General features: G+C 39.6%; 1 protein-coding gene across 10 annotated transcripts, besides 6 other annotated features; it reads left to right on the top strand.

Moving 5' to 3' along the window:
* Positions 3,261 to 3,390: an enhancer, noted in NCBI's record as "active region_9432". NCBI's record gives its function as "activates an Ori minimal core promoter by ATAC-STARR-seq in GM12878 lymphoblastoid cells {active_cell/tissue: GM12878}" and the evidence as "EXISTENCE:reporter gene assay evidence [ECO:0000049][PMID:35858748]".
* ARPP19 (cAMP regulated phosphoprotein 19) lies at positions 3,374 to 25,775 on the top strand. Of its 10 annotated transcripts, NM_001306191.2 has the most exons (6): positions 3,374 to 3,498; positions 3,599 to 3,704; positions 3,918 to 3,972; positions 8,574 to 8,630; positions 15,598 to 15,720; positions 20,716 to 25,775. In NM_001306191.2, exons 3-6 carry the CDS (start codon positions 3,928 to 3,930, stop codon positions 20,884 to 20,886), a joined length of 396 nt encoding a protein of 131 aa, NP_001293120.1. In that variant the 5' UTR covers positions 3,374 to 3,498; positions 3,599 to 3,704; positions 3,918 to 3,927; the 3' UTR covers positions 20,887 to 25,775. The 10 variants fall into 10 exon arrangements, with proteins under 10 accessions (NP_001293120.1, NP_001425009.1, NP_001425010.1 ...); NM_001438080.1 differs by lacking the exon at positions 3,374 to 3,498 and having other exon boundaries at positions 3,666 to 3,708; NM_001438081.1 differs by lacking the exons at positions 3,374 to 3,498; positions 3,918 to 3,972 and having other exon boundaries at positions 3,666 to 3,704.
* Positions 3,444 to 4,190: an enhancer, noted in NCBI's record as "H3K27ac hESC enhancer chr15:52860827-52861573 (GRCh37/hg19 assembly coordinates)". NCBI's record gives its function as "activates a minimal SCP1, AML or CMV promoter by ChIP-STARR-seq in primed H9 embryonic stem cells {active_cell/tissue: H9 hESC(primed)}" and the evidence as "EXISTENCE:reporter gene assay evidence [ECO:0000049][PMID:30033119]".
* Positions 3,861 to 3,920: a silencer, noted in NCBI's record as "silent region_6449". NCBI's record gives its function as "represses an Ori minimal core promoter by ATAC-STARR-seq in GM12878 lymphoblastoid cells {active_cell/tissue: GM12878}" and the evidence as "EXISTENCE:reporter gene assay evidence [ECO:0000049][PMID:35858748]".
* Positions 3,991 to 4,090: a silencer, noted in NCBI's record as "silent region_6448". NCBI's record gives its function as "represses an Ori minimal core promoter by ATAC-STARR-seq in GM12878 lymphoblastoid cells {active_cell/tissue: GM12878}" and the evidence as "EXISTENCE:reporter gene assay evidence [ECO:0000049][PMID:35858748]".
* Positions 4,191 to 4,939: an enhancer, noted in NCBI's record as "H3K27ac hESC enhancer chr15:52860078-52860826 (GRCh37/hg19 assembly coordinates)". NCBI's record gives its function as "activates a minimal SCP1, AML or CMV promoter by ChIP-STARR-seq in primed H9 embryonic stem cells {active_cell/tissue: H9 hESC(primed)}" and the evidence as "EXISTENCE:reporter gene assay evidence [ECO:0000049][PMID:30033119]".
* Positions 26,363 to 26,864: an enhancer, noted in NCBI's record as "H3K27ac hESC enhancer chr15:52838153-52838654 (GRCh37/hg19 assembly coordinates)". NCBI's record gives its function as "activates a minimal SCP1, AML or CMV promoter by ChIP-STARR-seq in primed H9 embryonic stem cells {active_cell/tissue: H9 hESC(primed)}" and the evidence as "EXISTENCE:reporter gene assay evidence [ECO:0000049][PMID:30033119]".

Here is a 27,861-nt window from a genome sequence, read left to right as displayed (position 1 = left end):
ACAGATCACTAAAACTTGGACCATATCAGCGATAAGACTGTCTCGTTTTCATATCATTCATGTGTTCACAGGAGTAGCACTTTTAATTTCCTTCAATAACTTTCCTTTGCATTCATAACTTGGCTAACTCTTCGTCACAAAAGGCCTAGTTTTTGGCTGTCTCAGCTTTTGACATGCCTTCCTCACGAAGCTTAATCATTTCCAGCTTTTTAAAAATGTTTAATCTATTTATTTGTTTATTTAGAGACCGGGTTATGAGACTGGCTAATTTTTGTATTTTTGGTAGAGACGAAGTTTACCATATTGCCAAGGCTGGTTTCAAACTCCTGGGCTCAAGCAATCCACCAGCCCCAGCCTCTCAAAATGCTGGGATTACAGGCATGAGCCACCGCACCTGGCCATTTCTAGCTTTTGATTTAAAGGAAGAGATATGCAACTCTTCCTTTCACTTGAACACTTAGAGGCCATTGTAGGGTTATAATTTGGCCTAATTTCAATATCGTTGTGTCTCAGGGTATAGGGAAGCCCAAGGAGAGAGAGACAGGGGAATGCTGGTTGGTACAGCAGTCAGAGCATACACATTTATTGGTTAAGTTCACTGTCTTATGTGGGAGTGGTTTGTGGTACTCCCCCAAAATTACAATAGTAATGTCAAAGATAACTGATTACAGATCACTATAATAGATATAATAATAATGAAAACGTTTGAAATATTGCAAGAATTACCCAAATGTTACACACGATCACAAAGTAAGCACATGGTGTTGGAGAAATGGCGCCTATAGAGGCTGGATGCAGGATTGCCACAAACCTTCAATTTGTGAAAAATGCAGTATCTAGAAGTACAATAAAATGAAGCCCCAAAAAACAAGGTATCCCTAGATGGCAGTTTAGACTATGAATGTCCACCGGGCGCAGTGGCTCAAGTCTGTAATCCTAGCACTTTGGGAGGCCGAGGCAGGCCGAGCACTTGAGGCCAGGAGTTTGAGACCAGCCTGGCCAACATAGCAACACCCCGTCTTTACAAATTATTATTATTATTATTTGAAACAGTTTTGCTCTTGTTGCCCAGGCTGGAGTGCAGTGATATGATCTCAGCTCACTACAACCTCCATCTCCTAGGTTTGAGCAATTCTCCTGCCTCAGCCTCCCAAGTAGCTGGGATTACAGGTGCCCACCACCATGCCCAGCTGATTTTTGTATTTTTAGTAGAGATGGTTTTACCACGTTGGCCAGGCTGGTCTCGAACTCCTGACCTCAAGTGATCCACCCGCCTCGGCCTCCCAAAGTGCTGGGATTACAGGTGTGAGCCACCGTGCCAGGCCTACAATTATTAAAAATACAAAAATTAGCCGGGCATGGTGGCATGTGCCTGTGGTCCCAGCTACTTGGGAAGCTGAGGCAGGAGAATCACTTGAACCTAGAAGGCAGATTGCAGTGAGCTGAGATGGTGCCACTGCACCCCAGCCTGGGTGGCAGAGTGACACTTTGTTTCAAAAAAGAAAAAAAACTATGAAGGTGGAAGTTATTTCCTGGAGGCTGTGTAAACATAGAAGAGAAGGAGATCCAAGGACAGAACTGTTAGAATCCTCCCATTAAGAGGCAGGTTAAGATTCAACAGGGAGGTTAAGTAGGAGGAAATCCATGAGACAATAGTATCCTGGAGATCAAGAGAAGGAAGTTTTGACAAACAGGGTGCTGGGGACCAGTGTGCAGTTTTACACATTAAGGTTCATAATGATGCAGAGTGGTGTTAGTTGGGAAAGAATGGCTTTCCAGACAGGTCCTCATTGTGGAGCATTGCCCATGGTGAATTCTCCATTTGACCAAAGTCTGCCCCCAGAAATTCAAACTTCCCCTTCTGCGAGTGTCACTATCAGAAACAGATTCTTTTTATCCAAGGTCACATAGCCAATTTTAAAAAAAAGGCCAGATGTGGTGGCTCGCTCCTATAATCCCAGCACTTTGGGAGGCCGAGGCGGGTGGATCACTTGAGGCCGGGAGTTCGAGACCAGCCTGGACAACACGGCAAAACCCTGTCTCTACTAAAAATACAAAAAATTATCAGGGTGTGGTGGTGGGCAACTGTAATCCCAGCTACTTGGGAGGCAGAGGCAGGAGAATTGCTTGAACCCAGGAAGTGGAGGTTGCAGTGAGCCGAGATTGTGCCATTGCACTCCAGCCTGGGTGACAGAGTTGAGACTCTGTCTCAAAAAGAAAAAGAAAAAAAAGTTTTTTTTCTTTTTGTAGAGACAGAGATTTGCCATGTTGGCCAGGCTGGTCTTGAACTCCTGAGCTCGAGCGATTTGCCCGCCTTGGCCTCCCAAAGTGCTGGGATTACGAGTGAGCCACTGTGCCCAGCCACAGCCAATTTTCTTGAGGCTGAGTTTCATCATTAAGTGTATGTCTATCAGATTTTAACTCAAGTTCACAAATACATTGATATAGGACATATACTAGAACGTCAGTCAATTTATTAATAAAAATACAACTGTTAAATGCTTCAGTGGCCTAACTACTGCACTCTTCTTTCTCTCTGCAGTTCTGCTTAAGGGAAAGGCAAATTTTCAGTATGTTACTTTGTGAGTATAGAAGGAGAACAAATATGTCGTGGATCTTACAGTTTCTCAGCTAGCCCAGCGTGAGACATTCTTAAGGGATATCTTTGTCAAACAGTTGGCCTGTTGAACCCTTTTATTTTCAATACTTCCTTGGCTGACAAATGCCTTCCTTCGTTTCTCCAAAAGGAGTGCAATATTAACTCTTTTTGTTTTTCTAGTTGCAATTCCAGTGCAATTCTTCCTGTCTGAGATTCTACATCCTGGTTGAGTTTCGATGGTTTCCAAATTCCTTATCCAGGCATTTAGGGTCTTTCAATTGTTCCCCTGCCCCCAGAAATGCATTCATTTTCTGTGGCTTTTTACTAGTTTAACTTTTAGAGGGCAATCTTATTTCCAAGTTTCTGAGGGACACTTTGTTGGAACCAACAAACATTGCGAGTAACTATTCAGATATCAAGTAGAATGAGGATTCAGTAAGAAGCCGCAGGACTTGGCAAATAAAAAGGTCATTGGGGGAGCTCAATGCTAGCAGTTTCGGTAAGCTTGTGGGAGTGGACCCCCTGGGAGTGGACAAATGAATCTGAATTCCTTCGTTAGATATCTAGGAAGTGCTGGACCCTCAGAGTAAAATATAAGTAATTACAGACGAGATCCCTGCCCTGGTGCGGCTTATCTGAGAAGGAAAGGTGACCTAAAGTCACGACAATTGTGTAATGATACAGTTCATGTTGTTGAGGAACTGTACAGGGCTGTGACAGCCTTTAAGAGGTGGCTCTGGCCTAGTGTAGAGGTTTAGGAAGGAAAGGTTCTGAGGCAGAGACGTAGGACTGGAGATGTGAAGGCGTGGCAGAGTGGAGCAAGACTTTTGGCGTGCCCAAAAGACAGCCTGTGTGGCTACAGAGCGGAGAGCGAGGAGAACAGAACTAGGCGAGGATGGGTAAGTGGAAAGAGTAAAATAAAGCTCCTAGAACGAGGGGACCAGAGTGGACAGGAAAGGGCGGGGAGGGGCGGTTCCACTTAGAAACTACAATTCCCAGGAAGCACTCGGCAGCCACAAACGGATGTGAGGTGAGGCAGGAGCGGCGACCTTTGAAGGAAAAAAGGAAGTGTTTGGACGACAGCGAGCGGGAGAAGCGGGGTCAAGTAGGTAGGGGTGCGGTGCGGGAGGGGCAGGCGGGCTCCGGCGTGCGAGGGCCTTGGCCAGCGGAGCGTTTCGCGGCTCCGTGTCGTCATAAGGCGGCGGCCATTTTCGCGGGCGGAGGCGGCCCGGCGGGCCCTGGGAGAGCTGGGACGGGCGGCGGCCGGGTGGCCTCGGCCACCCGCTAATTGCATCTTTTCCCGGCGTCTCGTCTGCAGAGGGAGCACTATGTCTGCGGAAGTCCCCGAGGCAGCCTCCGCGGAGGAGCAGAAGGTGAGCGCGCGGGGCGTGAGCCCTGGGCCCTGCCCAAGGCCGGGTCTGGCGGGCGGCCTGCTCCCGCCAGGCGGAGGGCCGCGCCCGAGATGCGGGGCCGAGGCGCATGAGGCCGAGGCTCCTGCGCCCCACCTTTGGCTTCCCGCCGTCGCTGGCTGGTGCGCCGACGAATTGGGAGTTCCAACGTGCCCCGCGTTTACTCCGAATCGTGCCTTTTGTAACACCTCCGTGGGTCGCGGTGTTCCTCAGTCACTTATATTTACGCGAGAGCCCAGGACGCAGGCTTTGGGCGTAGAGCCTAAGTTTTTCTGTAAGCCTCAATTTGGTTAGGAAGTTTTATTTTTTCCTTTGAAGAACTCTCCAACTACTTGTATTGTGAGCGTGCGGTTCACTCCAAAAGCAGTGCCTCGTGTGCGGGCCGCGATGTGGGCCAGGATTGGCATTTCAGGGCCAACCCTTGTAACCATGGTCAGTGAGTAAAGTCCGGCCTTCAGTGTCTTCACCTGTAAAGGCCGAATACTGGTGCTTGCCTCCCACGGCGGGGTGAGGCCTAGAGGAGGTGAGTCAGGTGTAGTGTGCAGCGCAGTCTGTGCTCAAAAAGGTTTCAGTCGATGGGACTCAAATATGGTACTTGACTAAAAATCGAAAGGGTGGAATTTTAAAATTTTACTCACGAAATTAATCAGGGTTTTATTGGAAACAGGAATATTTTGTAAACGCCCTTGTGTCTTCCTGATGTAGGGGAATAGGCCGGGAGTGTCACTGTGGTTCAAATTATGAATATCAAGCCTTTGTATTTATCTAGGCTGGTGTTTGTCTCTCCCACTGTAATTATTTCCACCGCCCTGCCCTCCTAGGCAGGTGTGACTGGCCGAGAAGTGAGAAAGGGCCGAGGTATCTTGTCTCCTAAATTGTTTATCAACAATTTTTCTTACAAATCAGGTTGTGTTGCCGTTAAATACGATTTTGGTCTACTGCTTGACCTTCGTGCGGGTTTCTGCTTAATGTTGCACTTATGTCCTAATTAAGTTGGGAATTGGATTAGTGTTCTAAGCCCATTCCATATGTTCTTAAAACCGTGTTAACTTTTCTTAAGTTGGGTGCTTCTGTTAGGATGTTAAAGTAATTGAAAAACAAGAAAACATATAGCATAGGTAAAAGTCCAAGTTACCACATTATTTGAGAATATCCCGTGAAAATAGATATATTTACGCATTACCAAAAAAATGGATTTTGGGGGCAAAAATACAAATATTAAAGTTTGCAATCTTAACAGTATTATTAAGTATCACCTGCTTATTGTAAAATGCGTATTGTGTTCATTATTGCTTGAAATTTAGGAGCCCCCAAAAATAACAAGTCCCTGTCTGTGGTGGTTTGCCTTAAACACTTACATCAAACTTAGCATTAACTTCTGGTGCACAGTAGTGTGCTATGTAATTTTCTTTGATAAGTTCTGTTAGTATGTTGCCAAAGTATGCAGTATTGACTTCTAGAGTGTAAATACTTTTACTTGGAAAAGCCTAATGTATCTTTTAACAATATTAAGGATAGCTTGAACGTTTTCTCTTATTGATTGTCTACATTAAACATTTAAGGTGCTTTGGTTTTAGCTGCTGTCATTAAAATCAACCAAAGTGTGTTAGGAATATAATGTTCCTTCTTAAATTGAGGATTGGCTGTAAATGCTAAGTGCCTGTGGCGTGGATGGTGTCCCTAACCATGAAGAAAATGTGCACAGTCACTTCTGTGTTCCTGTGGGCCAAATCACCTGTTTCTTCTATTTGGAAGATCAGTTCGATGACCTAAAAAATTAAGTTATTGTCTGTGTACCCAATTGACCTTCCACTTAAAGCCAAAGTATTCAGCTAAAAATACCTTTATAGTTTACTGGTAGGTTGCCTGTTGCCGCTAAAGAATTAAGGTAGATAGCTGGGCCTTGCATGGAGTAAAAGCTAAGTCACTTTCTCTATCTTGAGTGGTGTGTGCACCCTTGGTAAGAGAAGAAAACCAGATAGATTCCTGTCTTGTATTAGGAAACAATATGTACAAACATAAAAAATAAGTATAAACTCTTATCTCTTAACTTGTATACCACTCTAAGACTAAAACAGCCAGGCGTGGTGGCTCTTGCCTATAATTCTGGCACTTTGGGAGGCTGAGGCAGGAGGATTGCTTGAGGCCAGGAGTTTGAGACCAGCCTGGTCAACATAGTAAGATTCTGTCTCTACAAAATAAAATAAAATAAAATAAAAATTAGCCAGGTGTGGTGGCATGTCTGTAGGCCTGTAGTCCCAGCTACTTGGGAGGCTGAGGTGGGAGGATCACTTGAGACCAGGAGTTCGAGGCTACAGTGAGCTACTTTTAAAATATTTTTTAAAAATTTAAAAGGCCTGTGCTGTGGCTCACAGCTGTAATCCCAGCACTTTGGGAGGTCATGGCGAGTGGATCACTTGAAGCCAGGAGTTGAAGACCAGCCTGGCCAACACGGTGAAACCCTGTCTTTACTAAAAGTACAAAAACTAGCCAGGCATGGTGGCCCACACCTATAATCCCAGCTACTCGGGAGACTGAGGCATAAGAATTGCTTGAACCCAGGAGGCAGAGGTTGCAGTGAGCTGAGATCATACCACTGTACTCCTGCCTGGGCAACAGAACAAGATTCTGTGTCAGAAAATAAATAAAATAAAATTTGGCCGGGCACGGTGGCTCACACCTGTAATCCCAGCGCTTTGGGAGGCCGAGGCTGGCGGATCATGAGGTCAGGAGTTCGATACCAGCCTGGCCAATATGGGGAAACCCCCTCTCTACTAAAAAATACAAAAATTATCCGGGTGTGGTGGCACGCACCTGTAGTTCCAGCTACTCAGGAGGCTGAGGCAGGAGAATTGCTTGAACCTGGGAGGCGGAGGGTGCAGTTAGCCGAGATCGTGCCACTGCACTCTAGCCTGGGCAACAGAGTGAGACTGCATCTCAAAAAAATAAAATAAAATTTAAACTAAAACAGATTAAATACAACAAAGCCAGTCTAAATTTTTGATTGTGTGCTTGGTATTTTGCTGAAACTAAATTTCCAATGTATTTGGAATATGGCAGCAATTGTTAAAAGTTGAGGGAGTTTTTGAGTTTGTCAAGTAAACACTCCCCTAGGCCATGTGGTGGCTCAGTTCCCCTTTTAAGAGTAAACTATGAGGTCACTAAGTTTCCAGAGTCATAGATACAATCACATTTTAAGTTCAGCTCCATTCTTTTCTCATTTTCTTGGACAGTTGGAGTAACCTGCTGAGTCTTTGTCAAAGAAAGCTCAGATGCAGAACCCACATAGCACTACTTAGATGCAACGTGGTGATTCAGATTCCCCAGAATATGCTTATATTTGCCTTTGAGATAACCACTGAAGTGAAAACAAAACATTTAAAAGTTTTGAGTACAGATCTCATGAATCTATCAGCAGTAAGCTAAGGCATGTGTACTAGTCCTGGAGGGGAGAAGAGGCAAGTGGAAACTTAAAACAGATAATTCTGGCCCTACAGGGTGGCTCTTGCCTGTAATCCCAGCACTTTGGGAAGCCAAGGTGGGAAGATCGCTTGAGGCCAGGAGTTTGAGACCGGCCTGGGCAACATAGCAAAACCCCGTCTCTAAAATAATAAATCTACACCTGTAGTCCCACCTACTCCAGAGGCTGAGGGGAGGATCACTTGACCTCCAGGAGGTCAAAACCACAGGGACCTTTGATGGCACCACAGTGAGCTTTGATGGCGCCACTGGGTGACTGAGGGAGACCCTGTCTCAAAAAAAAAAAAAAAAAAGATGGTAATTTTAATTGCACTGTGAGCAGCTTATGCTCAGGGACCCTGGTTTATATATCTGTTCTCTCACAGCACTCAACATTGTGCTTGACATTATTTACAAAATGGTTGAATGGATTTTCCTCAGAACTTTTCTGTTAAAACCTTTGCCAAAGTACTATTTCAAAACAAATGACAATGCTAGTACCACAGAGAAGAATAGACCATGGTAAGATGAAAACCTTAGCTTAGACCCACTTAAGAACTCTTGAACGAAACTACAGTGATGTGTGTATATATTTTTTCGTTTGTGTTGTGGCCTTAATTTTTTTTTTAAGATCTCAATAGCAAGTTTTCTAGAGGTTATAAGACTCACCAAACTAATATGTCTTGGAAAGGATACCCACAGGAAAGCTGTCAATGAAATTATTTGTCAGGTAAGAGATACAGGTTGGTGCCTTTATGAGTGGTAGAAGAGGAAAAGAACCTTTATCTGCATTATTTTAATATATCAACCATAAAGAGATATAAATTGTTTTCCCATGCTTCCAGTATTTTAAAAATAGGAGTTCATATTGGTATTTTCAGGAGCTCTTTTGACAACTACTTTTGGTTACCTAAAGGCTGAAGAATGTTTTTGTTATGTTTGAGACAGGGTCTTACTCTGTCGCCCAGGCTGGGGTGCAATGGCACAATGATAGCATATTGCCGCCTTGAACTCCTGGGTTCACCTAGCCTCCCACCTCAGCCTCCAAGTAGCTGGGACTGCAGGTGTGAGCAACCGCCTCATCCATGTTTTCTATTTCTATTCAGAGTGAACACAACATGCTCCCTTGGTCTCTGCAACCATCGATTCCTAACAGCCTAGAGGTAAACCTCAGAAAAGTTTTTAAATGTTTCTCTTAGCCGTCTTAGCAGTTTGCGATACAACAGTTTGTTAGGGTTGCTTCTTTTGTTTGTGCAAGACTTGAATACTTAACTTCTAATCCAGAAGCTGTGTTTACTATAACATAAAATATTAAAGATGAGCTGATGGTGAAATCCTCAAGTGTGAAGAAAGTTTCTTAGCTTTATAGCTTTATGGAAACAAGTACATTGTATTTTTTCATTCAGATGAATGAACTTTTATTGAACATTCATTAAATGCTAGGCACTAGGCAAACAAAGACTTAATAGAATGACAACAGTAATTTTCCATAGAGCTTGATACAGTATTGGTACCTTCCTGGCAGTATCCCAAAGGATTTGTTGGCTTTCATTAATCCTTTCTAGTTATTCGTCAATCAGTGCATCAGTCAACATGTTGCTGAGCAGATAGAGGAGAATTTGCTTAGAGTGGTCAGATTTTTATTGCTGACGTTGCTGTATAACCCTCCTCTGCCGAAGGCTGAAAAGTGGTATCAGTCATTGAGACATAATTCTGCTCAGTGTATAATAGACTACAAAATAATCCTTAGTTATTTGAGTGTCCTTTTTACGTGTATATATTTATAACTTATACCCCACCTATTCACAGAAAGGATTTCTGATGTATTTCAGTGGTACAATTCACAAAAATGCACATGCCGAGACAATAACTATTATTAAAAATACTGTTCTTAAGATTTTTGTTTTTGTTTTTTGGATACATACATCGTATACATGTATCTGTGTGTAAACATGTATCTGTGTTACCATATCCTGGGGTTCCTTTCCCAGCTTGTAGCCAATAGCCAAAAGTTCAGAATTCTGCCTTCTGCGGACCCTATTATCAATTTAGAAGCTACTTACCTAAGTAAATCCATTTACATTACAGCATCTATTTTTAAAATGTAGTAAAATTGCTGTGTAACACAAAGGCTTCTTGGAGAATGAAACTTCAAAACCAGATTTGAATCATAAAAAATACTTCTTCACGGTGGCTCACACCTGTAATCCCAGCACTTTGGGAGGCAGAGGCAGATGGATCACGAGGTCAGGAGTTCAAGACCAGCGTGGGCAAGATGGTGAAACCCTGTCTGTACTAAAAATACAAAAATCAGCCAGGTGCGGTGATGGGCACCTGTAATCCCAGCTACTCGGGAGGCTGAGGCAGGAGAATCACTTGAACCCAGCGTGGGGAGGGGTGGAGGTTGCAGTGAGCCGAGATCGTGCCACCACACTCCAGCCTGGGCGACAGAGTGAGACTCTGTCTCAAAAAAAAAAAAAAAAAAAACTTCTTAAGCTTGCCATATCCACCCCCTTTGTTGGCCCTTTCTATTGTATCTTTTTCATTAATTTCTGCTTTTTATTTCTCCATTTTCTTTGGGCTCCTTTCTTTGTCTAACTTCTTAAATTGGATGCATCGCTCATTGAGATTTAGCTTTCTTCTCTGATATAAGCCCTTGAGAGATACTTGCTATACCTGACAAGTTTTGGTATGTGTAGGGTTTTGTTTGTTTGTTTTTAAAGAAACAGGGTCTCACTCTGTCTCCCAGGGTAGGCTTAAGTGACCCTCCCACCTCAGCCTCCCAAGCAGCCAGGACTATAGGCATATAAGCATCTACCACGACACCTATCTAATTTTTAAATTTTTTTTGTAAAGGCCAAGGTCTTACTGTGTTGCCCGGGTAGGTCTAGAACTCCTATTTTTTTTAAATACTCGTGCTTTCTTTTTTAACCAGGAATTATTTAGAAGTATGTTTTTAATTTCTAAATATTAGAGATTTATAATTTTTTTGTTGTTACTGACTTTAATGAATTGCAGTCATAGATGGTGGTCTGGAAGAAAATAGTTAAGATTTGCTTTATGGCCTAGTATTAGTCAGTTTTTCCATTTGTGCTGTGGAAGACTATGCATTCCCTAATTGTTAGATGTAAAATTAAAATCAAGTATCTTAACTACTTTATCTTTTATAGCTATCAATAATTGAGGAAGCTGTGTTGAATTCCATAGTAGTGGACTTGTCAGTTGCTCCCTATAGTTCTGTCAGTTTTTGCTTTGTATATTTTCATGCCATTTTATTAGTGGCACAGTGGCTCACGCCTGCAGTCCCAGCACTTTGGGAGGCCAAGGCAGGAGGATTGCTTGAGGCCAGGAGTTCTAGACCAGCCTGGGCAACATAGGAAGACCATGTATCTTAATAAAAAAAAAAAAAAAAAAAAAAGTAGGTGCACTGCACTAGCTCTGTTTTGGTAAGGATTTTTTGCCTGGTATGTTACCACCACCACCCACCCTCAGTCTTTTTACTTTCAACCTATGTCCTTGTTTTTAGATTTTTTTAAATGTGTACTCCACAAGTGGCTAGGTTTTTTTTTTTTCCTTAATCCAGCCACTGGATTTAAATGGACAGTCTGTTGCTTCAGTATGGTTATTGTGGTTATTAACATATTGGGATTTGTTTCTCCTTATGTTTGGTTTCTTTTTGGTATTTAAAATTTTTTTTATTTTTCTTCCTTTCTTGCTCTCCCCAACACTCCTTTTTATTTCTGCTATTTAATTGGTTCCCCTTGAAATTTTTCATGCATTCTTAACTAAACAAGATGTAAAAATTAAGATTATAAACCCTTTTCTAAATTATACAGGACCATAGAACACTTAAACTAAAAATATGGTACTGTTATAGTATTCTTTTCTTTTTTAACTCCACATGATAAAGATATTAAAATTACAATATTGACTTGTTATCAGTATATGTGTATGTATATACCAATTTTCTTTGTTTAGTAATAGTCATTCCTGTCCTTTATCCCTTACATCCTAACCTATTTAACCCAAAGCTTGATTAGTTTATGATTTAATCTTTCTGTGATTCTTTTTGGAAAAAATAAACAAATAAATAACTATTGGCTTATCTCCCCTTTGTTTTCATTCTAGCTTAAGTAAATGTTTAGGAATTCCCTTGAGGTCCAGAAACGTGGAGTCACATCAAATTGTGTTCTATTTTGCATTTTTGAACATGACTGTGGATAAATCGCTTATTTTACCTGCTTTTATCAGTGTCCTGTTGGGAGACAGGAGCAGAAACCACTTTGCATGTTTTTAAAAAGGAAGGAATATGATTTTTAGGGAATAAGGTTACAAATTATTAGAAGGAATAGAGGAACAAAAGGGAGGAAGATGGTGTTTCCAGAGGTAAGGATTACAGAAAGCCTTTGACCCTGCAAGGATGAGTACTGTTCAGAGTCCACCATCGTCTGCCTCCCTTGTCGTGTAGCTGCTACTAGAGCCCCTGTTTATCTGCCATATGTCCCTCTGTAGGAGCTCACAGGGGCGACTGCTGTCTGCTGTTGGTGGTGGCATCACCAGGAGCAGAATGGATTCTTTCTCTCATGCCTTTTAATCTGGCATAGATGCCGTTGACAGAACCTAATAAGAACTCAGTAACTGTCAGAATATTAATGCATGTCCAAGCACTTGAACTAACTTATCATTAAGGTCCTAGAACTGCCTAGCTCTGTAGAATGTTTCTGTAGGATTCATGAAAACTTTTGTGGAAGTCTTAATGGTGTTTACCACATTTAAAAATCTAGATTAGGTCATCTTTTCCCCCCTGTTAAATCCAACTGAAATTCTGAATCCAGTTAGGAAGTTGCAGCTAGCAGGGGCTTTCAGTTGTGCTATGTATTTGGCAAGAAAGTTCAAGAATCGGCTTGTTTTTTTCTAAGACATGTTATAAATTCATTCTAAATATAAATGACATTTGCAGCTCATAGATGCTGTTTTACCCAAACATTTTTTAATTTAATTAAGCATGCTTAATATGATATATCAATGTATTCCTTATTAAGAAAACAAGGGAATGCGGCTGGGCCCAGTGGCTCATGCCTGTGATCCAGCACTTTGGGAGGCCGAGGCGGGCAGATGACCTGGGGTCAGGAGTTCGAGACCAGCCTGGCCAACATGGCAAAAAAAAAAGAAAAAGAAAATAAGGGAATGCCCGGATTGTGTACAAGGTATTTTCCTTTATATATCAAATGGAGGAAACCTGCAGAAACACTGGAAACCAGAGTAAGTTGCTACCTACATACAATTTTCCTTTAAAAATTTTTAAGGAATTCGGGGAACTATTAGACTTGGAGAACTATTTCAAATCAAAGGAAGAAGTGGAGAGCTCTCACTTCCTAGGCTCAAGAAAGCTGAATTTTTATTGGAAATGTAGGACTCCAGTAACACCCTTAATTTGAAGGTGCAGGGACTAAAGGGTGACAATTAGCTTGGGATCCTTTTCAGCCAAAATTATTTGAAGCCAGCTGTGCAGGGAAACCCAAGAGTAGGCCTCTCCTCCCACATCCACTTCTAAACTGCAGCACTGAGAACACCCTTGGGCTGCAGTAGATATCTGCAGTGAGGGCTGAGCCACATCGAAGCTGTGCAGTGACTCAGCCCGCCTTCCTACATTAAACTTGGTAATCTTACATTTATGTTTATTTCTCTGGCTTTGGTGATGAATATGGTATAGTCATATCTTACATGGGGTTAGGTTCTAATGTTAGTAAGGGAAAAAAATCACATATAGCTAAAATCACCCTTGACAAAATTCTAGAGAAGGCATAATCATATTGGAGACTGCCCCATCAATTCTCAGTAGAGCAGGTAGTCACTTTTATGTCCAGCGTTTGAACAGATGGCTAGATGGCTAGGGTGATTCTTAAGTTGAGTGCTAGCTAAGGTAATAGGCTTGTATTGTACGGGCTGAGATTTTAAACACTGCAATGATAAACAGCATGTTGATGTACTTATGCTCTGCAAGATACCCAACGAGAGACTAACGTGGGAATGGCAGGTTTGCATCACATACCTCACACTTACCTCTCTGGAGCATACCCTTCTTGAATGGAATGACTGGTAGACTCACCACTATTTAAATTCTCTATTTCTGGCTAAGTGCACATAATTGAATGTCGTGCATGTCAAGTGAGTGAATGACGTGGCCACTGTAAAGAGATAACATAAATGGATGAATCTGCAACATAAAAAGAGGCTCCACAGAAAACAGTATTTGACAGAAGCAGCTTTTTTCTCAAAATTCTCCGAGACTGAAAATGAGAAGATCTAACAACAAATGAAGAAGCAGTTCAGGATGAAATACTGATAATATATAAAGTGAATGAAGCTGATTATAAAACATGTATGAGAGCTGGATGTGGTGGTGCATGCCTATAATCCCAGCACATTGGGAGGCTGAGGTGAGAGGATAGCTTTGAGGCCAGGAGTTCAAGACCAGTTTGGGCAATATGGCCTGACCTGTAATTTTTTCCCCCCCGTGGGTACAAAGGGAAGGGAAACAGGATCTTCATCTTTTTTTTTTTTTTTTAATGTATGAATATAATTTTGAGTGAAATATATGCCAAAATTTTATGAAGTTTTTTTTTCTTTCAGTGCTTAGATAGATAAATGGTTTGCTTGCTATATAAGAACATAGGTTTGACATTTATGGATTTAACATTCCTGCTTTGACTATTCCTAAGTAACCTGGAAGGCTCAAGATAGGCAGAGGTATGTGATTTTGCTGATTTAATGTGCAGAAATGAGTCCATTACTTAGAAAATGTGCCTTGCCAGCTGCCCGGTTTATCTATCTCAGTACAGCTTTTTCTCTTTCTCTTTTTCTTTCTTTTTTTTTTTTTTTCTGTTTTGTTTTGAGACAAGTTCTCGCTAGACCTGGGTATGCACCCAGGCTAGAGTGCAGTGGTGTGATCATGACTCACTGCAGCCTCAACCTTCCATGCTTAAGCAGTCATTTTGCCTCAGCCTTTTGAGTAGCTGGAACCACAGACATGTACCATCATGCCCGGCTAATTTTTAAACTTTTTTACAAAGGTTGGGTTTTGTCCATATTGCCCAGGCTGGTCTCGAACTACTAGCTTCAAGCAATCCGCCCACAGCTCCCAAAGTGTTGGGATTACAGGAGTGAGCCACCGTGCCCAGTCTGTTTTTCTTGATTAATTCTTCTGCAGTACTTGCCATGAAGTAATAAACACTCCTTCCCTATTAAATATAGCACTTTGAAAGAAAGCAGACTAAATCAAGACTGTTGTTCAAAGTGAATAGATGGAAGAATTGATAGTTCTGTCAGGAAACAGGTTTTTGATATATTAAAGAATAGGATGTTTGACATGAACAGAGTTTGTCATTTTAAACATGGGGGAGAGTTAGGCAATGATATACATAGATGTGAGGATTGACAAAAATGATGTTTCTCTTCTTTAAAAATAACAGGATGGGCCAGGCATGGTGGGTCATGCCTGTAATCCTATGACTTTGGGAGGTCGAGGCAGGATTGTTTGAGCCCAGGAGTTCAAGACCAGCCTAGGCAATATAGCAAGACCCCATCTCTATTATTTAAAATAATAAAAATATTAAAAATTTATTATAAAAAAACAAATATCAGGATCATCTGTATTCAAGAAAAATGTACTGATAAGTAGGCTGCTGTTAATTTCTAGTAAAGAATCTAACTTCAAATCATACATAATTTTAGATAAATAGAAAAAATTCTGTATATTTTAACAGTATTAGGATGATTCTCTAAATATAGGCAAAGAACTGAAGAGTTCCATAGAAGGTGACTAACTATAAATGTATTATACATGACTGGAAAAGTAATGGCAAGCAAGACTTCAGAGCTGAGCTATCTTGATATTTTTATCCAGTGTGTGGGGTGTTACACATGCATCACAGCTATAATAGAGCTATCACATGGATCTTTTGAAAAACAAGATAGAGATGTTTTAAAGGCTTCTGGGTTTGATTTCTTAGTCAGATGCTGTGGTACTTGGCATTTAACAACTAGAATTCAGAATCCAGATTTTTAAAGGTGAATTATTTTAAATAACTGAGTTGTAATAGAGAAGTAATTTATTTGAAATTATTTTAGGAAATGGAAGATAAAGTGACTAGTCCAGAGAAAGCAGAAGAAGCAAAATTAAAAGCAAGATATCCTCATCTGGGACAAAAGCCTGGAGGTTCAGATTTCTTAAGGAAACGGTTGCAGAAAGGGGTAAGTTCTCATGGGTAATTTCCAAATACTTAAGCCCTACAAACTCAGTATGCTGACAGATTGTGAAACGGATATCTGTGCGTATAGCATTGTACTTTATCAGGTATGTACATATGTGTATATGTATCTGTAATGGGTTTTTCCAATATTTTGCAGTTTATAAATAAGCATTGTGAGAATCTACAACTCTTCAGCATTTTTAATAATAAACTATTTAAAGCATGTAGAAATAGTGCAGATATAACAGAACCCATATACCCCTTCCCAGATTTAATGTTTATATTTTGCCATGTTGGTTTCAGTTTTATCTTTCTTAAGAAAGAAAATGTTGTAGATACTGTTGAAACCCACCCTATATGTAAATATGAGCCCTTTCCCTTATCTCTCCAAAAGCAGCCACTATCCAGAAGCTGGTGTTTATCCTTCTGCCCATATTTTGAAACTTCCATATTTTTTGCAGGTGATTCCCACACAACATTCAAAAGCTTAAAATACTTATTTGGATGAAATGATCACTTAATAAATGCACAGCTATCTCCTTTATGTAATATGTTTCACAGTCAGATTTACTCTAATACAATTTAAACATTTTCATTTTCATAGTTCAAATTACTGAAGATATTATTTTCAAATTCTTGCCATGTTTTGCGAGGTAGATACCATTATTTCTCAATAATGAGATTGAGATAATGCTGGCCTGTTTGTTCCCTAAGTATTGTCCTGTGACCCCTTCCTTTGCTGTAAAAAATTAGAGAGTTCCATCTTCAGCTTAAGCATATTCAAATTACTTACTATACAGGGAAGGATGAAATACTACTTACGGAAGAGAATTGTTGAATGAGATGCTAAATCATGTTTCTCCTTAAATACATTCATATACTGATATCGGCTCCTTGCTTAAAACACGTCTGTGTGTGTATTAGCTCTAGGTACATATGGATTGTTTTAAAGTGGCAAAAAATAGAATGGTATTTTTAATCTTACATGAAAGAATAATATTCACAGCTTTGAAATACTAGGATGATGGAATAATGACACCAAATTTATGAAGATGTAAAACTCCCGTACCATGAAATATATAATCAAGTAGGGAAGTTATTACAAAAATGTTAGTTAATGTCTAAAATACATACAGAAACTTTTAAATATATGAAAGGGAACTTTTAAGTGTACAAGAAAAACACTTAAGGTGCTCCTGGATAAAGGATTTTAACAGGAAATATAAAAAACAGAGAAATGTTTATATATTATAGACATCAGTGAAATGCAAATTACATCATAGTATTTATATAACTAAATTGCAAAAATGTTTAAAATAATACCTATTGCTAAGGTTGAAGTTGAATGAAACTAATATGCTCTTTGTTGTGTTTAAACATTAAAAATTATTACTCGTTTCAGAACAGGGTATGGATTAAGGTTTATAAAAATGTTCTTCAAATCAATAATCTCTTATTTATTAATCTAAGAGTATAATTCAGTACAAGGAAAGTCTTCCAAGTTGGAAGGTCCTCCTTATAGCTTATAACTATAATTAGTAGCAGCACCACTATTCAACAGCAGAGAAATGATTAAATAAATTGAAGTAAGTCAATAAAATAGTATTATGTGGTTATTTTAGAACATAAAGATCATAATATAGGGGATAAATAGAAGAAGTAGAATGACAACTGTGTTTTTAGTTATGAGATAAATTATTTAATCTTTGGCTATTAAATTATTTTGATTTGATTATTGTTTAGGAAATATTTTCTTTGCTAATCTCCAGCATAACCTTGGCTAATAGGCTTTCTTCCAACATTGGGCCAATTGTCACTGTAATTTTTCTCTAGCTTGAACTATTTATTTTTAAGTATCTTCAAGTCAGATTTCATATACATTGTATCTTGGAGTTGGTGTTGTAGATATAAATAGTTGAGAATGAAGAAAATGCTACTGAATCAAGAAATAAGTAGATAGAATTTGAGAAGTGAGCTCTTTAATGATTCTGTATTATAACAGAATGTCAGTGAATAAGTTATTTTATATGAAGTTTTGATTTTTTTTAAAACTCTGGATCACAGGTTCTGGGTTTTAATTTTCCTCTATCACTAGTTAGCAAACTTGACAAATTACCTTAGCATCTTTAAGTAGCTTCTTAATTTGAGAAGGTTTGATTAGATATTATGATTATTATAATAGGTCTCTTCTTGTGTTGTACTCATTAATGTTATTATGAGGTTAATGTTATTATTAGGCTTTTAACAATATGACTGTGTACACATGACTACATAGATTATCAGAGCTGGGAGGGATATCAAGAAGCTGTGTGGCCTGTTTTTACATTTTTTATTTCTTTTTGCTTTTTGTTTTGTTTTTTCATATTTGTAGGGGTTGTGAAGTCCCTAGAAAACAGAGAATCCAGTTGTAAGAAACATGGCTTTAAAGTTGAACATTACCACTTTAGGTGATCACTTAGTGTCAGTGTAGTTGTAAATGCTGATGTAAGTATGGCCCATAAATTTGTGTGAGAGGAGGCTTTTATAAGATTGTCATCTAGATCATAATTAATTTTTAAATATTTTCATTACAAACTCATGAAATTTAGAGATTGTTAAAGACATATCATCATCGTTGTTATCTGTGGATCCCAATTTGATAAACATTAGTTCACTTCTCTATCTTAAAGCATTAGCTTCTTTCTCTGACATCTTTGTTGTTTTATTGTCTTTGCTGAATCTCTGCCTTTTGCAGTAACCTTTTCCTTTTTAGGGCAATTCTAATTGTCAGGCATTGATTTTAGTTTTATCTCTAGTCACACTAAATTTAATTCCTTTCCCCCAAGCAGAGTAGCCTAATCTACAGTTAATTGAGACCCCCTTGTGATGAACTTTTGCTTACTATAAAATTACTTACATTAGAAACTGCGTTTATTACATAGGGGGAAAATCTGCCTAAAATTTACATGTGTGTTAAATTTCTCAGTATGTGCTTCTGACAAAATAAGAAATTTGGCAGGCTGCTTTGTTCTCCTCTAGAGGCTACAAAATTCAGAAATAGCTTTTTAATATATTACAGTGCATCACAATTCTGAGGTTTTTCTGTCTGCTCATTTTAAAACATACAGAAGTGAAGCTGCAGAAAGCTTTAGATGGGCCTGTTCCAGGGTTCCTTGTTACTGTTCCGTATGGTACATATACAGTAATACATTAAAGCAGTTTCTGTCTTTAGGCCTTTGGGCCATAGACCAGGTCTGGCTTATCAAAAAGTGGTGGAGGAAAGCAGCCAATGAGACTTTTTCCTCAGGCCACTCAATAGTCTTATACTAAGCTGTGAGTTCCTAGCTATTTTGTTTTATCACATGAAGTATCCCTGAAGATATTAGCTTAAGATTCCATAAATATTATCTGTTTTCTTCCCCTTCACCCTTTGTCCAAGCCCTTGTTTCATACCTGGATTATTTCCTTTGCCAACCCAAGACTGAGATTAGAGCCCCCTTCTTTGAGCACCATATAGCACTGTGTGTGCTTAAGGCAGTATTGTAATTGTTGATTTACTTGACTATTGTCCCATCTTTGTATCTGACTCCAGCTCTCACATAGTGCCTCACATATAGCAGGCACTCAGTAAAGATGGGCTCAGCATGATAGGTGTAAGTTAGAACCCAGGCAAATTTATGTTTTTGCTCTGGAAGTCAAGTAGGTTAGTTGTATTAAGGTTGATGTTTAGCTCTCATCACAATTTGCATGTTAGTGGTAAAGGGCAGCTAAAAAAAAAGCAGTAGTCATACTTCATGTCTCTCTGTGAAAAATGGAGGAGGTGTGGAGTAGGGATATGCATTTTAAGTAATAATTTCTAGTGAGTTTATTTCTTTCATTACTCTAATATTTATATTTTTACCTTAATTTTTGGTAAACTGCTCTAGTTCAAATAAGTATGATTTAAATTCTTGCAGAAACACTTGTTCTAAATAACAGAATACCAGGAACTGTAAATAATAGTTTTAATAACTATAATTATGGGGGGGTTGGTTTTTTTGTTTTTGAGACAGAGTCTTGCTCTGTCGCCCAGGCTGGAGTGCAGTGGCACAATCTCAGCTCTCTGCAACCTCCACACCCCGGGTTCAAGCGATTCTCTTGTCTCAGCCTCCAGGGTAGCTGGGATTCCAGACACCTGCCACCACAACCGACTAATTTTTGTATTTTTAGTAGAGACGGGGTTTCACCATATTGGCCGTTCTGGTTTCAAACTCCTGACCTCTGACCTCAAGTGATCCACCCAACTCGGCCTCCCAAAGTGCTGGGATTACAGGCATGAGCCACCATGCCCAGCCAAATTATGTGTTTTATTTATAAAATAATTTAAGCAAGTGTTTCACCTGGTTGTTCCATTAGTAAATGAAAGATTTTATTTCACTGAGTCTGGGACTTCCCAAATAGCTTAATATTATATTAGTCTTGATGGTTCTTTATTAGAACCAGAATGGTTCAAGAAAGCCTGAAGGCAGGTTCTTTTTTTTTTTTTTTTTTTTTTTTTTGTGAGACAGTCTCTGTTGCCCAGGCTGGAGTGCAGTGGGGCAATCTTGGCTCACTGCAGCCTCCACCTCCCAGGTTCACATGACTCTTAAGCCTCAACCTCTGGAGTAGCTGGAGTTACAGATGTGCACCACCACACCCAGCTAATGTTTGTTTTTTGTTTTTTTTGTTTTTTTTTAGTAGAGACAGGGTTTCGCCATATTGGCCAGGCTGGCCTGGAACTCCTGACCTTAAGTGTTTCGCCTGCCTTGGCCTCCCAAAGTGTTGGGATTTCAAGAGTGAGCCACTGTGCCCAGTCTGAAGGGGGGCTTCTCGGCTGTTGACTTATGCTGGAACTCAGTACAGAGACTATTTCATCTAATTAATATTCCTGTTTAAATTCTTTTAGACCAACCTTATACGGACAGTATGGGGTTGCATCGACATCTTAAATCAGTAATTGCTAAGCTCTAATCTGAATTTTTTTTGTTTTTACTTATAGCAAAAATATTTTGATTCTGGGGATTACAACATGGCTAAAGCAAAAATGAAGAACAAGCAACTTCCTACTGCAGCTCCGGATAAGACGGAGGTCACTGGTGACCACATTCCCACTCCGCAAGACCTTCCTCAACGGAAGCCGTCCCTTGTTGCTAGCAAGCTGGCTGGCTGATTAAGAGGCTGAACTGCATGAATCTGCTAAATCTCATTATTTCTCCTTAATATGTTACTTATCTACTTTTTATTTCCTTTCATTCACTAGTCATTTGAGACTGACAGCTTTGCAGGTAGCAGTAGTGTGTGCTGCTATTGTGGAATATACGTGTGTAGAGTTTTTGATTAGTTTAACAGTGCACTGGTGAAGAGGACATGTTAGAGCAACATAAGTAAACTACTTGAAAATAGTTGTATATATTACCTAACTTCTAGTGTAGTACTGGTTCTAACAAGTAACAAGCAAGTTTTAAAATTTTAATGTTTTGGCTTTCATTACTTCATCTTAATTATAGCTTTGTATGTTACTCTTATTTAATATAATCTCTATTGTATTGATTTCTTCTGTATTTACCTTTTGGATTTTGTAAAACAGAAGTTTAAGACCACAAGTTAGAAGAAAGGTCACATATTTCAAACACAACTAGATGGGGCTCTGAAAGATTTGTATCTCTGTGCTTGAACTTGAATGGCCTTAAACCTGTTTCAGCTTTAACAGTAGAATTTTACTTGGGCAATATTTGCCCATTCTGGTGTAACTTATGTGACTCTAGTGCTTAACAGCTGCCGTTGAAGCTAATATTCAGTTCTGTAGAGTTAGAATACCTTTTGTTGTTGAAGATGTGAATGAAGTATGCATGTGCATTAACTGTTGAATTCACTTTTGTGCCATTTTTGTAAATACAGTAGTTTTGCACAACCTCTCACAAATGTCTGTATTAATTTCACATACTTAAAAAGTAGATAATGTGCCAACCAGAAGCACAAGAGTTCCTACACAAAACTCTGTAAATCATTATAGCTTTTGTATAATAAGAGTAGTTTACAATCTCGGGCTTATAGAATACCAAACTGAAATCTTAGTTCAATCTGCCATAGACTTAAGCTTTTCATTTGTTACTAATATCCATGACATTCAGTGGCCTTGTGCAAATACGATATGTTGCTTAGGCATATCTTTTGTCCTATGCAGAACCTTTCATTTTGATTTTTATGAAAGTTGCAATTCATGTAATTTATATAAACTTTTTAAATGTAGAAACTTTTTACTTCCACACTCAGTTTTGGAGACCCTAGAATAAAAGGCTTCAATACTCTGCATTCCATGCCCTCTGCCACCTGCTTTTTTTTCCCCTTTGTTCTTTGACTCAAATGGTATTGAGCTGTTTGTTGTATATGGAAGCATAGGTGTCTATATCCTTACTCTTTTATATAACACAATAATGGCGTTTTCCTTCTAATTTCTCAGTTGTTAACTTCTTTCTCTTTTTTTTTTAGGATAGGGCCTTGCTCTGTCACCTGAGCTCTAGTGCAGTAGTGCAATCACAGCTCACTGCAACCTTACTCCTAGGCTCAAGTTAACTATTCTTGATCCTTTATTATTACTAATATTCTACAATTGTTTAAATAAAAGGAACTTTATAATGAAACGGTTCGGAATACTGGCTCAAGAACCTATGTCAAGATGAGCTGAATTTTGGTAAATTATTTTAGGAATTATGACAAGCTAATTGAATTAGGCTTGTGACAATTAGAGTAATTTACATGACAGGTAAAACTCCTATTAAAAATGTTTAGATGTTTGCTTCTGTAGATGTCACTTTAGTAAAATACCAATTTAGTTTTACTTGTGGCTTATCTAGTTAGAACTTAGCAGACTTTACTGGGACAAGTTTACTGCTCTTGTAGGAGCTCCTCTCACAAGTAGTTGTAATGCTGTAGCATGATACTCAGGATCAGTAGCTTGAGATGCTACTATTTTTCTCTTCATCTTTGACTTGCAGAGAGCCTCCCGTTTTTGGATCCAGGCATCTTTTCTGAATCCTGGTTCCATCAGTATACCTGCTCTCCTATGACCCCAAATCATAGTCAATGGTGCCTCAAACATAGCACCTTAAGTTAAAGGCTGCCTAGTGCTCTGAGGAAAGCTTGCTGATTATCTTCCTGATCTACTCACCCCAAAAGGCAGAAAAGCAACACAGTCACTGCTGTGGTCATTTGTAATGTAAAGATCAGTTATATATATATATTTGTAATGAGAGCAAGTATATACTCATTATAGAATCAATTTAAGAAGTTTAAAATAACCCAGAGTAGAATTTCTATATCTAGTCTTGGTTTTTTTCATGAATATTTGCAAGTAATTACCATTAAATTCACACATGAAAGATTAATCTGAAAGATCAGAGACCATGTTATTCCTGACCACGATAGAACTGCTCCTGTGGTTTGGGACAAGTAATAAAACAACTGCTTGAGTTTTGTTTGTAAAATACATAATTAATATTTGACCTACCTCAAAATGTATTGAGGATCTGTGAAATGCTAAGTGCCCAAAATAAAATATTGCTGATTGTCTTTTTATTAAAAGTAAATTTCCTCATTAAGCCAACCTGCCTTCTGTAAGTCACAGTGCTTAAATCTCAGGATTTTTCATTAGGAGAGACCTGTCGTTAAGGATTTGTAGGTATAATTGCTTAGCCTCCATTATTGGTGCTTGGGATAGAGAGGTTTTAGATTTTTGTTTTTTTTTTGTTCTGCCTCAAAGCTCAGTTTATTGAAGACATTTGTAAGCTATTGGATCATCACTTGAATCAAGATTTTGACTAGTGAGCTTAATTGTCCATTTCTTACAATTTCAAAGTTACAGTCTCAGAAATGGTTAATTTTAATAACTGTCCTATCATAAATTAATGTTGGAATAAATTGAAGTTGTTGATAAATACTTCATGAAAACTAAAGTCTGAAATAAATTACTTGTTTTATGTCCAATAGCTACTACATTTGATAGAACAGTTTTGAGGAACATTTCATTCTTGAACGCAGCATCTGACATGGTTCTCAGCAAGTTGGAATAGTAAGGATTATTGGCTTGTTTCGATGAGTGGAAGCGGCATGTTTGTAGCATACAAGTTATTCAATAATCTTGTGCTGATGACCTAAAAATATGTCTTAACTATTCATCAAGGAAAGCCTGGTGAAGCCTTTACTTGTTACTACTTCAACAGTTGGAATTAGTTGCTCTTTTTACTTGATGAAACAAAACTATACCTCTGAATATTTATGGATACTTTTTACTAAATCAGGCTTGTGTTCTTAATCCAAATTAGTAAAGTTTTATGGAAGCTGAAATGTAATACAGTAGTCTCCCCTTATCTGTAAGAGATACATTCCAAGACCCCTAGTGGATGCCTGAAACCTCAGATAGTACTGAACCCTTTATCAACTATGTTTTTTCAGTCTGACAACCAAGGCGGCTACTAAGTGACTAAGGGGCAGGTAGTATACAGTGTGGATAAGCAGGACAAAGGGGTGATTCACATCCCAGGCAGGACAGAGCAGGAGATCATGAGATTTCATCACTCAGGATGGCTTGTGATTTATTTTATTTTATTCTTTTTTTTTTTTGAGATGGAGTCTCACTCTTGCCCAGGCTGGAGTGCAGTGGTGCGATCTTGGCTCACTGCAACCTCTGCCTCCTGGGTTCAAGCAGTTCTCCTGCCTCAGCCTCCCAAGTAGCTGGGATTACAGGCGTCCGCCACCATGCCCAGCCAATTTTTGTACTTTTAGTAGAGATGGGGTTTCACCATGTTGGCCAGGCTGGTCTCGAACTCCTGACCTCAGGTGATCCACTCGCCTCGGCCTCCCAAAGTGCTGGGATTATAGGCATGTGCCACCATGCCCGGCCGGCTTATGATTTAAAACATGAATTGTTTATTTCTGGAATTTTCCACATAATATTTTTGGACCAAGGTTGCCTCAGGTAACAAACTACAGAAAGTGAAATTGCAGATAAAGGGGATTACTGCTCCTCTGCTCTAAAATTGGTGTTTGGGTGATCAGAAGCAGGTAGCCAATGGGAAGAGCACTTCTGAGTGATAACTAAAGCAGTTTGGTGGCCTTTTCACATTCTCCAATGTTCAAACATATTTTCCACTTTCCATTTTCTCTTTCACCTCATTTTGCCTCTCTATCCCCCATCCCTGCTTATTTCTTAAGCCCATTGATGGCACTCATTAAATTGTATTTAGGGCTAATGAGTCATTGTTCCTTAATATCGTTTTCAATATGCCACAATTTAGGACACATTTAAAATTTTCTAAAACAATATCCTAATCAATATTGACTAATTTGAGCCACATTCCCAACTCTAACTCAGCACACACTGCCAGTCTTCCCCAATATCTGTCTCCTCTCAATTCCCCACCACACCTTATAAAATTGTAATCAAAGATATCTCACTCTGTCATTGTTAATCTAAGAATAAAAACACTGACTTTAATACGGTTTTACTAAGTTTCAACCTTCTAATTAGGTAGGCCTCTAGGTATTCTGCAGATCACTGCTGGTCTTGATAGCCATTAATATATGTTTGTATTATGTTATTTTTCAACTAAATCGCAGTTGGAAAAAAACATATTTAATATTATGCCCTTGGATCTGTTACTGCATCACTAGCACTTGTGATGCAATAGAACACTTCGCCTGTACTGAAAGGGCCAAGAGTAAATGCCTTGTTTTGTTTTTTTGTTTTGTTTTGTTTTGCTTTTTGTTAAAACATGTCTATAGAGTTGGCAGTTAATGCTGAATTTGTCAAATACCCCTTCCAAAATTATACTTGTATTTAAAAAATAAATGGATCTACCTAATTTCTATTGATTTAATTTGCAGTTTTGTCTTATTAAAGTGGTATGTTTTTCAGTGTATTTTTTCTGAAGTTGATCTCTTTACATTTCAGCTATTACTGTATGCAGGAAGAAACTGACTTGTAATCTTTGATTTTTTTTTTTTTTTTGCATTTGTAAAGGCTTTGTACTTAAGGTAGGATTAAATGTTTGCAGATTGTGAGTCTTTTTCATCTTATTTGTGAAACATTACAGAGGAGGGGCTTCAACATGGCTGACTAGAGACATCTGGTACTCAGCTTCTCTACAAAGAGCCACAATAGTGAGGAGATAACACCTCAACTAGATCATTCAAGAGAGAACTCAGGAATTAAACAGAAAAAGGACAGGAAACAGTTAAGGTAGGAGAGGGAAGCAAGGCAGCCTACTTGGCCAGGATCTTCTGGGGGCCTGGAAAGATTAAATGAGTGATTGCCAGAAGTCCACATTCTCACCACAGACTCCTGCATCCCAGCCACAGGACAGCCTTTAGACCCTCGCAGACCCCAAGACTAACATAGGGAGCTGCCTGGAGACCACAAAAGATACTGCTCCAGAGACGGAGCTTATGCCGTCCCCCCACCCAAAGCCCTAAGCAGCTGCAGCAAGGCACCATATTGAGAGCTTAGCCCTGCAAACTGCATCCTGCCCAGAGGCCCTACAGCCCTTGCATCTCCACATCTCTAGAACCTCATTGATGTTCACCACCAATAGCCACCATCACAGCTGGCTGCTACCTACAGGGCTGAAGTGCCCAGCCATTGGCAAAGACCTTGCTGCCCCAGTAGTAAAGCTGCCATGCATTTTCATGTGCCCCAAGGACAAACTCCCCTACCTGTGGTGGTCTGACTGCAGGCTGCTGTAACCAGGGCCAATGGACGAGTGAAGCACAGGCTCACAGCCTCCTGGGTGTGGCTGCTGCAACTGAAAACAACCTTGCCCTCCACAGTGTCAGAGCTGCAGTGTAGCCACTGCCCTGCCACCGCCACCACAAGCATCCTGCTATAAGCCTGAGGATCACCCTTCCCCTGCCTGCCACAGTCAGCACCTGCACACACCACTAGAAGGCTTGAGAACAGGTCCACTCAGTCTGGCTCCACATCCTGTGTCCAAGCATGCCATCCAGGGGCCTGGGGATTACCCAGCTCAGTCCACCATTGTTGACTTCTGAGGACTCCTGGGGGCCTGATGTCAGTCCTGTTGAACCTGCTGCTACCACCACAGTGGGCACCCACCTAATATGCCACCACTAGGCCTGGGGACTGGCCCAACCCAGCCCCTTGCAGCAACTGCCAACACCAGCTCGTGATATACAGAACAACCAGAAATAATAAAATCACAGAAATAAGCCCTCACATATCAATAATAATCTTGTAAATGGATTACAGCTTTCCAGTTAAAAGAGGTAAAGTGGCTGAATGGATTCAAAATCATGACCCAACTGTATGCTGCCTACAAGGAACTAATCTCACTTGTAACGACACATATAAGACTGAAAGTAAAGGGATGGGAAAAGATTTTTCCATGCAAACGGAGACCAAAAGCATGCAGGAATAGCTATACTTAGATTAAACAGATTTTAAGTCAAAAACGGTAAGGAGAGAAGCATATTATTTAATGATAAAAGGATCAATTTTATCAGGATATAACAGTTCTAAACATACTCAGCATTGGAGCACCAATTAATAAAGCAAGTATTATTAGATCTAAAGAGAGACACTAATGCAATCATAGTTGGAGACTGCAACACTGCATTTTCAGCATTAGACAGAAAATTTAAAAACTGCATTTAAATTACACATTAGGTTTGGTGGCTCACTCCTGTAATCCCAGCACTTCAGGAGGCCAAGGTGGATGGATCACTTGAGGTCACCAGTTTGAGACCAGACTGGCCAACATGGTGAAACCGTATTTCTGCTAAGAATACAAAAATTAGCCAGACGTGGTGGCATGCACCTGTAATCCCAGCTACTCAGGTGGCAGAGGCAGGGGAATCTTGAACCTGGGAGGCAGAGGTTGCAGTGAGCTGAGATCACACCAACGCACTCTAGCCTGGGTGACAGAGTGAGACTCCATCTCAAAAAAACAAAACAAAAACAAAAAAACTGCACATTAGACCAAATGGACCTAACAGACATTTACAGAACAGTTATCCAACAGTTACAAAATATACATTCTCATTAGCACATGGAACATTCTGCAGGATAGATCATATGTTTGTTATGACACAAAACAAGTCACAACAAGTTCTTAAAAATCAAGTATCTTTT

The sequence above is a fragment of the Homo sapiens genome, chromosome 15, assembly GCF_000001405.40.
Source record: "Homo sapiens chromosome 15, GRCh38.p14 Primary Assembly".
Lineage (NCBI taxonomy): Eukaryota > Metazoa > Chordata > Mammalia > Primates > Hominidae > Homo > Homo sapiens.
The sequence above is the reverse complement of the archived record's forward strand: the minus strand, read 5'-3'. Positions and strand labels throughout refer to the sequence as shown.